General features: G+C 38.8%; 1 protein-coding gene across 12 annotated transcripts in view; it reads left to right on the plus strand.

Moving 5' to 3' along the window:
- The window catches only part of ADAMTSL3 (ADAMTS like 3), a 385,720-nt gene that overhangs the window by 238,377 nt on the left and 132,645 nt on the right, over window positions 1-14,698 (plus strand). For all 12 annotated transcript variants that reach the window (XM_011521823.3, XM_017022434.2, XM_011521822.3 and 9 more), the window contains 3 exons: window positions 185-389; window positions 5,359-5,506; window positions 7,148-7,232. In XM_011521823.3, the coding sequence (XP_011520125.1) occupies window positions 185-389; window positions 5,359-5,506; window positions 7,148-7,232 (438 nt within the window). The remainder of the gene's footprint in view (window positions 1-184; window positions 390-5,358; window positions 5,507-7,147; window positions 7,233-14,698) is intronic.

Below are 14,698 nucleotides of genomic sequence, written 5' to 3' on the forward strand. Positions count from 1 at the left end.
AGCCTGGGTGACAGAGCGAGACTCTGTCTCAACAAAAAAAAGTATAAAGTCTTATGACTCCCAGTCCCAGGCTCATTCAGCTGAACCACAATTGATACCTTAAGGCCATACTTTTTGCCACCATCTTTGCAAACTTCAAACAAACAACAAATAAATAATATAATTTTATTTGTTTGCTTTTGAGCTGGGAACATAATCCTTGGACTGCATGTTCCGTGTCCTGTGGAGGAGGGATTCAGAGACGGAGCTTTGTGTGTGTAGAGGAATCCATGCATGGAGAGATATTGCAGGTGGAAGAATGGAAGTGCATGTACGCACCCAAACCCAAGGTTATGCAAACTTGTAATCTGTTTGATTGCCCCAAGTGGATTGCCATGGAGTGGTCTCAGGTAAGATTTGAGAATATGCCACTTTTAATTAATTCTCATATTTTAAGGGATATTTTCTATATGCCCACCATGGTGCTAGACAGCATGGAGACAAAAAAAAAGTGGTAAAAGAGCATGGTTCCTACTCCAAAGAGCTTAGGAAGACAGTTGGAGGACGAGGGAAGAAAGACCACAAGCATCATGGTAGGTAAGGATAATTAATATTAAGGACATTAATAATAATATTTCCATACAATTACCAGCGTAATTAATATTAAGTACTGTAAAGAACAAATCTGTAAAGAACAAATGTTGAAGCAGAGTCAATCAGGAATTATTTGTTGCCCTTGTGGTGCCTAATCCATCTTTGAATAATTTAAACAAGCAAGAATTACAATTTAAATTGTTTAAATTCTTTGAAGAATGTAAACAAGCAAGAACCTGAGAAACATCACTGGGTTAGGGTTAGTGTTAGGGAGATGGCCAAACAGAGATGGCTTGAGCAAAGGCAGTAATGACAAGAAGTGACTCAAAGTTGAAGATTTGAAGAGATGACCCATGATACTAAGAACTGGAAGATTAAGAGATTGAAGAGATGGCCCATGTTACTAAGAATTGGGAGATTAAGTTGGAAATGCTGACACGACATGAAAGTGTGTGTCCTTGATCCAGTAGCCACTAAGAACCTTCACAATTTTTGTGAAGACATAATATATTTTAAGTAATTGAGGCAAGATAGCCTAACATTGGGAAAGACCAGAGGCGGGCAGCCTATTTAGAAATCATCCGTGGGGTCAAGTTGTATGAAAAAAGAAAACAGAAGAAGGAAGACACCTCAGAGGTATAACAAGGTTCATGTCAAATTAGCGTAGTTTTCACTTTCTAAAGAGATGACTGAGTAAGCCTCCAGAACAAATAAAATGCAGCCGGATTAGTCAAAGATGAAAAATGCAGACATTGGTATTTAATTATTTAATCTTAATCCTTTAATTTTCTAGAGAGTGAGATGTAGTTGACTCAAGTTTCTCCAGCTTTCTTAAGTGATTTCTGCACACTTAGTTCATCATATATGTGCATTAATATATCTATTCATATATTTATTCAATGGGTCAGCTACCATACTAAGAAGTAAATACAACTTGCTCCAACCACCCAAAAGCTTAGAATCTAGTTGCACAGACATGCATGCAAACAAAGTTGTGTTACAGTATTGTATTGTGCATGAGTAGTGTCATGTGCCCAGTACTTCAGAGGCACAAGGTGGAATGATTCACTCCATCTGAAGGTGTCAGGAAAGCTTCAGAAAGGAGGTAGCACTTGAACCTGAAGGACAAGTGTCAGGTAAAGACCATATTAATCTTTTTCTGATATCCCCAGACTAAACATCATCACCCTGTAAGAACTTTATTCAAACTTGCTGGGGAAGAAGTTACCAATTAATTTTTGGTCACATACTCCCTAAAAAGAAGATTAGAGAATTACGTATTTCTTCACATATATTTAGGTTGACATCTGAAATTTCCTATCACAAGTTTAAATAATTACAAAGAATATCATTTCAACATGTTGTGAATGTTGACATTTTAAAATAAGAGTGTTGCAGCATTCAAAAAAATCTGTCTAGTGGAATTTAAATGCCATGATAATTTCTGTCTTTGCCATCTTTCATTTAAAAAATACAGGGGCGAGCTCTTCTTTAACAATTTGGATGTTGAGCATATTTCTCCCTTTGAACTCACATTTGCAATCTACTCTCCCCACAGAATTTTATTCTAATATAATGTATTTTTATGCTTTAAAGTCTTTTTTTAATTACACTATTCTACTTCTCTCCAAGAAAATATATATGATCATTGAAATTAATTTATTTTACTTTCCTGTGGCCATAAGGCCCTAAGTATTTAAAATATTCCTCTGAATTGAGTTAATTTTAATACACAGTCAAAATAACATATATATATATATATTTCAAAGTTTGGTAAATAAGAATAACACATAAAAATTACATTTTCATTTGAATACACACTTAGTTCATCGTGTACATGCATTAATATATCTTGATAGAAGATAAGTGGAACTTAAAAAATAGTCCATATATTCATCATCAGAATGAGCCATGTGTTCAGCAATGATTTTATTGTTAATTTTTTCTATTGGTTTCTTATTTTGTTTTGTTTGCCTTTGCATGTATACACTGGGAAAGCTTGTTCACATAAATCAATAGACCGGGATGGAAGGATTTTATTTTAGCAAGGTCGGTTTGTTCTTTGAACTCTTGAGTTACGTGCCAGAATTCATGTGATGGTCTATCATCAAAAATTATTTTTAAGGGTCTTTCTACTGGCAATTTAAGTCCTCTTTCTATTTTGTTGAAAGCAAAAAATATCATCTCAGCTGCAAAAGGATTTGTTATCGAGACATTAGGGACTTTCACTTTTTCAGCCCCCAATCAACATTATTTCTACAACTGCAGAGCTTGTTTTCAGCTCTCATAAGTCCTAGCCATATGTTTTATGTTGGCTTTAGAGCTTTTATATCACTCTCCATCCCCATAAATATCATGACTTTATCATTATGTATATTATCAGAATAGAGGATGTTAACTAGCTCTTCTCATTCACCATACTTCACCCTTAATACTTTTCACTTTTTTCAAAAATCAAATATATTCTCAGTGATGAGGATTTTCCATCATCGAGGACATATGCAGCTCCACAGAGGAGTTCTGGAACCGTTGTAAACAGTGACAGTGCCATTAGGGGAAGTGTCCGGCTTCCCAGAACGGCGGTTTAAAAGGAGAGGATACTCCTTTGGATTAACCAGTTGTAGTATAGTTATATCTTGTACTGTTTTCTTTCTTTTTGGGTGAATTTTTTTCTTTCTTGGCTAAAACAGCCACTCAATATTATATATATATATATCTCAAATTGATAAATTTGGGGGTAGGTGAGTCAATTTTCCAAAAACAGGGTAATCTCAAGCTTCGCTGAACTCATTAAAGTATTTGTTCAGTGGTTTCAAGAGTGGCATCATGAACTAGAGAGATTTCCCAATATTCTGCCTGATGTGTGTACACTGAGAAAGGCCTCCATATCCTCGAAACATATCTTTGAAACTTGTCCCTAGCAACACCCAGGTACAAAGTGCTTAGGGGGTCAGAAAATAATTTTCAAGCTCCTTAAAGCGGTGGCTTGGCCGTGGCTTTGGCAATAGATGGCTCTGGGAGGAAATTCCACTCTGCCTGTTAGGAACTGTGTGACCTTGAGCAAGATCCTTAGATGGTGGGCCATTTGCTTATCTGTTCAATAAGCCTGAAGCTACTGACCCGGAAGTGGGTCGGGAGGATTCATGAGATAACAAATGAAGGAGGTGCCTGTCCCATAGCAGGTAACCAAAGGCAACCAAGAACCCTCAGCCCCTCCCTGGGGTGGATCCAGAATTAGTGGGGTCTGAAGTTTGTACAGATTGGAGGGGACTCCTCAAAAACAAGAATATAAAACACAAATATTGAGTATTGAAGAGAATGTTTATTTAGAATCAGAAAGGAAATTATAAGAAATTACAAATTTTAGAAAGCTGACAACAACCACATTGTGAACTCTGGACTTGATAATATTTAATAATGATATATTAAATGATGTATTAGTTATGTTAATAATGATGTATTAATAGGGGTTCATCGGTTGGAACAATGGCACCACACTAAGGCAAGATGTTAATAATAGGGAAAATCATAGGGGGAAAAAGGGGTGAAGGGGAAGATTGGCGCTGTCTGTACTGTCTGCTCAATATTTCTATAAACCCAATATGGTCCTCAAAAAATATAGTCTATCAATTTTTTTTAATGCGTACATATATACACTCCCCAACATGCAGATTATATTAGTCCATTCTCACACTGCTGTAAAGATACTACCAGAGACTGGTTAATTTATAAATGAAAGAGGTTTAATTGACTCACAGTTCCACATGTCTGGGGAGGCCTCAGGAAACTTACAGTGATGGTGGAGGGTGAAGTAGAAGCAAGTACCTTCTTCACAAGGCAGCGGGAGACGGAGAGAGAGCATGAAAGGGGAAGAGCCCTTTATAAAACCATCAGATCTTATGAGAACTCACTCACTATCATGAGACCAGCATGGGGAAAACTGCCCCCATGATCCAATCACCCTCTACCAGGTCCCTCCCATGACAAGTGGGGATTATGGGGATTACAATTCAAGATGAGATTTGGGTGGGGACACAGAGCCAAATCATAACAGATAAATTTGAAAAGCTATTCTAGATTTTTATATGACATGAAAACATTCCACTCATAGGCAAGAGTAACTTTCAAATCATAAACAAATAATCCAAGAAAAAAAATGCTGACAACACAAACTTCACAAAAATTCAGAAAAATAATAGCATAATGTTTTTATTAACTTTAACTGCAGGCAGTTATAGATGTATGGGGATACATCTATAGTATTTTTTTCTATAGCGTTTGGCTGAATACTCTTTGATGGCCTCGTTATATGGTAGCAGTTTTGCAAGACTGACTTCTATAGACAGAATAGAAAAATAATCCTCTGGCATAATTCATTAGAATTTTATTATATTTTTATTGACAGTTCAGAAAGGTTTCATTCGTCTTCAAAAATTATTTTGGGTAGGGTCATGTAAACGTTTAATCAAACTTGAGAAAACTTGTAACAAGTTTCTTTGATATTTGAGCAGTAAGATTTCAGGGCATTTTTAATTTCTTGAACTATGATCTCACCTTAAATACTTTTTGAATTGAGAAGTGGAACAAGGTTGTACAAAAGAGGGGCCCTGAAATACAAGTATCACAGAAAATTAGCCTCTGTACCCTTCCTTACATAATATTTGTCTAAAAGTCTTTTGTGTTTAACATTTATGTAGTTCAATGGCTCTCCTTTGCATTCGATAAAATAATGCCTTTGTGGTTCTCTTAAAAGAAATGCGTTGGCTTCTCTTTTCTTCTTTGAAGTGCACAGTGACTTGTGGCCGAGGGTTACGGTACCGGGTTGTTCTGTGTATTAACCACCGCGGAGAGCATGTTGGGGGCTGCAATCCACAACTGAAGTTACACATCAAAGAAGAATGTGTCATTCCCATCCCGTGTTATAAACCAAAAGGTAAGTCTGTGGTGCACTGTAAATTCAAATCAAATGGTATTTTCCAGCTCCCATTCCAATATTGTAGCATTTCCCTTTCAACTTACTACTTTCTTATAAAAATTGTTTTATTGACAGATTGCAATAGACCTTCCCATCTAGATAAAGAAGTTAGATATATGTGAATTATTCATCTGGAGGGAAAACTGAGCTCCTGTTGATTCAGTACAGATGGAGTAGCTCCTATCTATCTAGTTTTATACTAACATTTCTTGGTGGACGTAAGAAAATTAAATGCAGTCCCTCCCTTGAAGAAAAAGAAGAAGAATGGCGGGGGAGAGATTAAAAAAGGAGGGGAAGGAAAAGTAGAAGGAAGACAAGAAAGAAGAGCAAGAAACAGAGGAAGAAGTAGAGGAGGAGGAGGAAATTATTCTTTTCCCAAGATTCTCATTCTTCTTTATAGCTACCTCTCCGCTGGAGTATAAGATTTTTGAGGGAGGAATGATGTCATCTTTATCATGTGTACTAATGCATGGAATGAATGAAAACTTCCCGTTCCCAGTGGAGATCTATGGATGCATTTATAATCTCTCCAGTAGTTCACATTTGTTCCACATGAAAGAGCAGAAATGGGTAGCATCCAGGGATAGGAGGATTTGGCATCAGCTCTCTGATATATGATCTTCTCTGTACATAATTATTTCCATGTTCTTTAATGTTAACCATCCTCATGAAAAGTATCTTCCATCTTGAAATGGGAGAAAAGATTATTCCCAACTATTAGTAAGAAGGACTCCTCCTTAGTACTTGAGAGAGGATGGTAAAACTCTCTTTTGTTATTTCTGGGTTCATTATTCATACAAATAGCCTCATAATTAGCCATTCAATAAATATTTTTGAGTACGTCTATCTTGCAGAAAAATCACTAGTTGCCATGACAGGTACAAACATTGACTACTTAACTCCATCAGTGAAGTCTTTTTTCCTTCCTTCTGCATTTATGATACTTTCATAGCCACTTTCATTGTGTCCATAGTTTCCTTGAAGCACCCTAAAGTTATTTTTATTTCTCACTTCATAGATAGATTATTCCTTTCTTCACATCAAGGAGGCTTCAAAGGACAGGAAGGGGGGCAACAGTTTGTTCCTCCATGCCAGATGTAATTGGTAATCATCTCCCTCAACAACTACAACAACAGTAAAAGTCTGAGTAAACTATAACACAGACTCCTTCATCCCCCCTAACTTTCTTAACTTTCATATTATTTGCCTTTCTCTATTAATGTTTGCATTCCATGGGCAAAAATAAAATGTGACCAAAGATAGCAAGCTGATATGGTTGAAGTAAAAGCTTCAATATATGAACAACAGAAATTGGTATTGATTTATAAAAGGCATTTTTATGTTAACTTTGACAGCATTTTCAACTGTATCATGTGATCATTTTGGTTGCATTTTAATAATGTATTAATTTTTTTAATATACAGCAGAAGTGTTTAATTCATTCCAGCAGCCACCTAATGTATTGTACTAAGGAACTCAACTTGCATTTGAAAAACATGACCTCTTTATAAATGAAATCTTCAGCCAATATGATCACCTATCCAACTCCTTAATGATTAATAGTAATTAGGCTCATTGTTTATGTTCTCTTTTTCTTAGAAAAAAGTCCAGTGGAAGCAAAATTGCCTTGGCTGAAACAAGCACAAGAACTAGAAGAGACCAGAATAGCAACAGAAGAACCAACGTGAGTCCAGGACCTTTTGTAGGAATAATCAGGGCATAGCCAGTTAACATGATATATGTAATTTTTGTACTCATTGGAGTACAGTGATACATTTAATATCCAAATGACCTGGATTTACAGACTCTAGAGAGCTTGAGCTGGCTAGAATTTTTCTTTGTTTCACAATTCAGCAGTCCTCCTTTGGCAGTTTCTCTGAGCAGCACAGAAAAGAACAGTGTTACTTAACTCAAAGCAGATCCAGTGGTCTGCTACACTTAAGAGACTGGGGATAATTTCTAGGTTTTAACGCATGTGATTTGACCATGAACCATCATAGTATCATACAAATAAACCAGTCATTCCATGGGTAAGTCATGGTCAATCTCTATAAAATCAATTAAGTTGAAATGCATTAGTCGCCTGAGTGATCATAGGGAAATGGAAAGAACAAGGTACTAAGAGTATTGGAGCTTAGAACCACCCCTGCTAACTACATGACCTAAGACAAGTCTAATTTTTCTGTGTCTTATTCTCCTTACCTATAAAAGGAGCAGGTTGGGCTTGATCTCTCCAGGGTTCATTCCAACTCAAAAATCCAATGACTACCATCTGCATGTGATTTGATGGATCTGGATTGTAACAGTGCCAGTGGAAATTAAGAATCAAGAGGAAATCAAAGAAGCATTCTGGAGGCAGTTATATAGGGACAAAAAGAGAGCAAGAAATCAAAGGTGCTCTGAGATTTCTAGTCCAGGAATCTGTAAGAACAACAGTACCAATGATAGACTCAAGTAATTGAACAGAACAGCTGATTCCATGTCAAACATGTTAAGTGTTTGGTGCTGACAGGCTGTCTATGAAGAGAGCAATTCCCAGAGCATCAGAGGAAAAGGGGTCTCAGCAGTAATCTGGCCACTTTCCCTCTCGGAGCAGGCATTTCTTCTTCAACACCTTCAGCAATGGGCAGAGTTCACTGCATTAAGAGACACCTCATTCTTGTGTTGAGCAACCCGTTATTTGCAAGATCTTTTTCTTCTGATGAGACAGAATAGACCTCCTAATTTGTGTTCTCTGAAGCAGAAAAAAAAATACATCTATGCCCCATCCCATGTGACAAGTTTTCACAAATATGAAGAAAGCTGCCATGGATCCCGAGAGCTTTGTCTTTCCCAAGTTCATCATTCTTAGCCTTTTCAGCAGTCTTCATGCACTGTTGTTTTTAGATCCCTTCCCAACCTCCTGTGCTTTTCAGAACCCACTCTCATTTGTCAATCTCCCTTTTAACTGTGGTCCAGCCCAGTGGTGAGCCCCAGGGCAGTGTGGGTTACTTTGCTTTGAGAAGGCACATGTGGCAAAGTGATGTGGGCCAACATAGCTGGCACATCACACTCATGACAGGCACAGACTTCTCCACGTGGACCACTGTCAGTGCTGGCTATGACCACAGAAGAAACTGTGGACCATGTGAGGGGGAATGGCTTCACAGTATTTGAGTAAAAAGAGAAGAGTGTTGGGCTCCTGACAGAAGCTTGGAGATTTAGAGGAAGAGGGGGAATCAAAAGAGGAAGATGGTAAGGGAGTAAAGTAGTGGAGAGAGGGAGGAGTAAGACCCAGGAAAGCTTATTGTTCCAGAGACCAAAGGAGGAAGGAGTTTAAGGAGGCAAGGAGGCAAGCAGCAGATGGATTCAAATCTCACAGAAAGACAAGGAAAAACCATGAGGAAAAAGAAAAGCCTACTTTGATTAACAAGAAAGGCTTTTTCAGTGAATTTTAGAGTAGTAGCATTCAAAGGGTAGAGAATAAAACATTGTGGATATTTCAGAAATAAATTTCCAAAAAAGAAGAAAACGGAGCAATGGGTATTTAAGTACTAAAGAAGGAGCAAAGATTGGTAGTCAAGCTGATGGAAAAGTGTATACGTATGTGTTTGTTGTTTTTCATTTTGATGTTAGGGCAATCTTAAATTAAAAAGATATGGTTTTGCACAAGTCAGTTAATATCTGTAGACCTTCCAACTGTATAAGGAAGGCATTAGGCTAAATGCTGCTGGAACCTTCTCACATCTCTGATCACCTACAATCCTGTAAGGGAAGGAGTCTATAGAAAGAAAAGGGTTTGAGGCACTTGAGAGAGAGAGTGTGTAGTTGTCACAGAAGGAAGGTCACAGAGTCCTTTGTCTAGAATGATGGGTCCTACCAAGATCTTTTGCTTTCAAAACACAGTTAGATGATAGTTGATAATGCTTCTGTATGTCCTCTTTTGGGTAATAGGGTTGCAGTCCGTCCAGTTCCCCAAACTAGAAGCCTGGATTCTTTCTTGGCTCCTTCTCATTCTTCTCTGATGTGTAATTAGCCACTGAGTTGTGCCGACTATATTTACTAAAATCTTTCTTGGTTCCAGCTCCTCCTTTCCATCCAAACTACCATCCTTGTACAGGTCCTGAAATCAGTTCCCAGGACACCTACAACAGCTTTCTAATTTGCTCCTGAATTGCTTCCCTCAAATCCACCCCTACACAACACAGCCACCAGAGTAGTCTATCTAGGTAGGGCACAAGTCTAATTCTTTTTGTTTTGTTGAAACAGAGTCTCACTCTGTTGCCCAGGCTGGAGTGCAGTGGCGTGATCTCTGCTCACTGCAACCTCCGCCTTCCGGGTTCAAGCGATTCTCCTGCCTCAGCCTCCTGAGTAGCTGGGATTACAGGCATGTGCCACCATGTCAGGCTAATTTTTTGTATTTTTAATACAGACAGGGTTTCACCATGTTAGCCAGGATGGTCTCGATCTCCTGAGCTCGTGATCCACCCGCCTCAGCCCCACAAAGTGCTGGGATTACAGGTGTGAGCCACCGCACCTGGCCAAGTCTAATTCTTTCTTTGCAATGTTCAGAATATCCAAATGTCTCCCCATCACTCAAAGATGTATGTGGGTTCATATGCCCAATGGGACTTGGCAGGGTATTACCTTTCCTGGTCCCCAGCCTCATGTCTGGCCACCTCCTTTTTTTTGCCTTGAGTGGGATGCTCCAGCCACACTGACTTGCGGGCTGTTTCTTGCCCACAGCAAGCTGCCTCTTGCCTCCTCTTTAATTACACTCCCCTCTTAATTGGGAGTGGCCCCACCTGTTAAGTCTTTTTCTGTAACTTTCTTTTTAATCATAGGAAATTGCAAACCTATTTAAAAGAGGAGAAAACAGTGTAATGAACCCCCATGTCATGTTCATAACCCAGTATCAACAATTATCAACCCAGGGCCACCCTTGTTTCATCGAAACCATCACCACTGCCACTACCCCCTGATCATTTTTGAAGCAAACACAGACAGCACATCATTTCATTCATAATTATGTATCTCAAAAAGAAGTCTTTAAAAAATAATCAAAATACCATTTTTGAAATGCTATCCTCAATACTTCTATCAGAATCACCCGTGGTGCTTTTTAAAATGTGGTGATTTCCAGGCCCCACTGAGTCAGATACTGTAGGAGTGGGGCTCCATCACCAACATTTTCTTTTTCTTTCGGCTGCCAGATCTTTTTTTTTTTTTTTATCATGGTGAGAGATACACAACACAAAACTTACCATTTTAACCATTTGAAAGTGTACAGTTCAGTGGCATTAAGCACACTCACATTGTTGTGCACCCATCACCACCTCCCATCTCTCAAATTTTCTCATCACCCCCCAACATAAGCTCTGTTCACCTTCAGCAATAACTCCCTACTCCCTCCCACTAGACTCTAGTAACCTCTATTCTATTTTCTGTCTCTCTTTCATTCACCAGCATTTTAAACAAATACCCCAGGTAACTTTGGCAGGGGAGTGGGCATATCCAAGTTTGGGAACCACTGGATCCGATCGTCCCTAAGGTCCCTTTAAAGTTCAGAAAATACTGTTTACTTTATTGAATTAGAAAAGGGGGATATCAGCCGGGCGCAGTGGCTCACGCCTATAATCCCAGCACTTTGGAAGGCTGAGGTGGGTGTATCACTTGAACTCAGGAGTTCGAGACCAGGCTGGCCAACATGGTAAAACCCTGTCTCTACTAAAAATACAAAAATTAGCCGGGTGTGGTGGTACATGCTTGTAGTCCCAGCTACTCGGGAGGCTAAGGCAGGAAAATTGCTTCATCTCGGGAGGCAGAGGTTGCAGTGAGCTGAGATCCTGCTACTGCTCTCCAGCCTGGGTGACAGTGCCAGACTCCACATCAAAAAAAAAAAAAAAAAAAAAAAAAAAGAAAAAAGAAAGAAAGAAAGAAAGAAAAGGAGCTACAGTGAGGTTCAGGCCCCATATTCATTCCAAGCCTGCCTTTTCTGTCAGCCCCACCTGACTTTGCTAGGGGTTTCTTCCTCCTCGTATTCACAGAGCAAAGCCAAAAGGTTCTTTACTCCTGAAGGACACCACCCTTTCTTCCCCCGTGTTGAAGACTGAGCAGACAGCACCTGTTCCCTGGCCCAAGCAGCTGCCTCTTCCCACCTTCTGCCATCTCTCCCTCTGTGGTCGCTCTGCAATTTTCCTGCATAATTCACACTGCCTGGCAGTTTCTGGCCTGGTCCTGGCCATCTAGTGTGAAGTTTATATTTTCCTGCCACCACTTCTGACTCTATTCATTCCCTCGATTTCCAAACAAAACCGCAACATATCTCAGCTTCCAGTGCATCCTTTTATTACCACTGTCTTTTGTGGTTTGGGGATGCTTGCTTGTTGACAGTGAAGGAGAGGATGAACGCAGCTGTATTTTACATCCCTCCAGTAGAGCCTGCCAAGCCAGCCTGAAGGAGATAAATATTTCTGCCTCTGTGGTTTACCATGGCTCGAGTTCTGAATTTACATAGGGAGCGGATGTTCAAAAGGCTTTTTTGCTTTTTTTAAAATTAGGAAAATAAAAATTATAGTGTATAAATCTAAGCCAAGGGAACTGCAGTACTGACCTTCTTAGCTTTCAGCTGTGGAATGTGTTGACAGTTGATATGGTTCATTGGTTCATGGTTGTTTTAAAATTCCTCCCTGGAGCCTCTTCGTTTGTTTCTGTGGGATTCTTAACACTTCAGCAAACTTGTTGCCCTCGCTGTCGTTTTTCATATACAAAAACTAAGGAAATAGGGTGGACTTAGTTAGCACACCTTGTATGTTTCCTTCACTGCTGACTTAAATTCTCCATTTGTGGAGATTATATTTGCTAATGTCAAATTAGGTGACATTTCAGGAATCTGTTTTTCTAACAACAACAATGATAACAACAACTAATATTGAGGAGTGCTTTGTGCCAGACCTTGTTCTGAGTGTTCTACGTGGATTAAGTTGTTTAATGCTCACAACAACCCTATGAGGAGGTGCTATTCTTATTTTCATTTTGGGGCTGAGGAAACAGGCGTAGAAACATAAAGGAATTGTTTTGGAGATATTAAGTGGTGGACAGTGATTCTATGGCACGTAAGACTAGAAAGAGCTGCAGTTTCGTGTCAGATGTCCTGAATTCAAGTTTCACCCATCCTTGGGTTTATCTAATGGAGTAGACAGAGAAGTGAGTGACTGCATGATGGTATTGTAAGGTTGCAATGCATTATAATTACGTTATGGTGTTATTCGGGATCAGGGATGGTTTCCGGAAATAGATGGTACATGAACTGAGATCCTAGAGTGTCCTACAATGTCAGAAGAGCAGCATGTCAGGTATTTGGAATAGAGGCTTGTGTGCAGGCTCACTGGCCCATGTAGGCCACGCAGGTTGCTAAGGTGGTCTGAGGTGGGTGAGGGGCGAGGAGGATGGGCCCGGGGAGCAGTAATGGCAGCAAGGATGCAGCTGGAGGAGCCAGCAAGTCTTGAGGGTCTTCCATGGTTCACTAAGGAGCTTGGACTTTATCAGGAGGCTGTGGGAGCCATGTAAGGATTTTAACCAGAAAAGTGACATAATCTCAATTACATTTTTGAAAGATCCCTCTGGTGGTCTGCAGTTTATTTCCAATTATTCACAATGATAAATAAAACTGCAGCGAATTCCAAATTGCACATCTCTAATTGTCTCATTGGACATATTTTCTGGCGTGGAATTTCTGGGCCAGGGATAAGCATTTAATTTCTACTGTCAAATTTCCTTTTAGAGAGAAATCAGTGCTGGCTTCTCTCGCCAGCAGCAGTACTCCAGCTTGCCTTTTTCCCCATACGTTCATCAAAATCAGGAGATTATCTTTTTTTTTTTAAATGTTATTTTGTAGTTTTTTTTATGGTTCATGTTTTGCACTTAACTTTGATCCATGGGAAATTTACTTTCACATGTAATATGTAATCTCAATCTAACAATTTTTTCCAAGTAATTAACCAACTGCCCCTAGCACTATCTGTTGAGTAAACTACCCACTTTGGTTTTAAAATGACGTCATTGTACAAATAATACTCCAGTGCCAGTACCATATTATTTGAATTACTGTGTCTTTTAAATACTTTTTTCTATTAAACTGTGCAAGTACTCTGTAATTGTTATTCCTTTTAAAAATGTTCTTGATTGTTCTCACCTAACCTTACATAAAACTTTAGAGTTGTATTGTCTGTTTCCAACTTCCCCCCCAAAAAATTGCTTCAGCCGTTTGGCTCAGAACTGCATTTTTTCTAAATTAATTAGGGGAGAATAAACATCTTTCTAATTTTGAGTCTTCCCATTCAGGGGCATGTGGTCTCTCCATTTATTCAGGTTTTTAGGCTTAGAATCCCCTGAGTATTTTATACCTCAGTTTTCCTCATCTGTAAAATCAGGAAAATAATGATATTTATGCATAAGGTCATGGCGAGAATTATATTAAATAATACATGTAATATGCTTAGCATAGTGCCTGGCAGCTAACAGTAAATGTGGTTGAATTCTGGGAAAACTGGTAATTTTAGTATATGTATCTATATATTTATATAGTGCCACACACCACACACACACACACACACACACACACACACACACACACACACACACACACACACAGAGTTATGGGCTACTTTATTGAACTGTTTTGGTTTTTTCCAAAATTTTTCAGTTAATTTTAGTACTTTTCATAGCTATGTCATTTTCAAATATGATAATTTTGTCTATTATGTTTATTCTTTCCTAATATTTATACCTGCTTTTTTGCTCTTCCACTATATTTTCATTTGTATTTTTCTTATCTCATTTTGTTTATTCTTTTACTTTTTACATATCTGAAGTCATTCTGTGTTATTTGTATTATCTGTAGGTTTTAAAATTACCAGCTGGGTGCAGTGGCAGGCACCTGTAGTCCCAGCTATTGGGGAGGCTGAGGTGAGAGGCTCACTTGGTTGAGCCCCAGAGTTCAAGGCTGCATTGAGCCGTGATCACACCACTGCACTCCAGCCTGGGTGACAGAGCAAGACCCTGTCTCTGGGAAAAAAAAAAAAAAAAAAAGAGAGAGTCTATTTTTAAAAGGAAAGTTTAATCCATTTAAATAGATTTTTTATTACTGATAGTTCTGGTCTCCATTTTAAA

Source organism: Homo sapiens, chromosome 15 (genome assembly GCF_000001405.40).
Source record: "Homo sapiens chromosome 15, GRCh38.p14 Primary Assembly".
Lineage (NCBI taxonomy): Eukaryota > Metazoa > Chordata > Mammalia > Primates > Hominidae > Homo > Homo sapiens.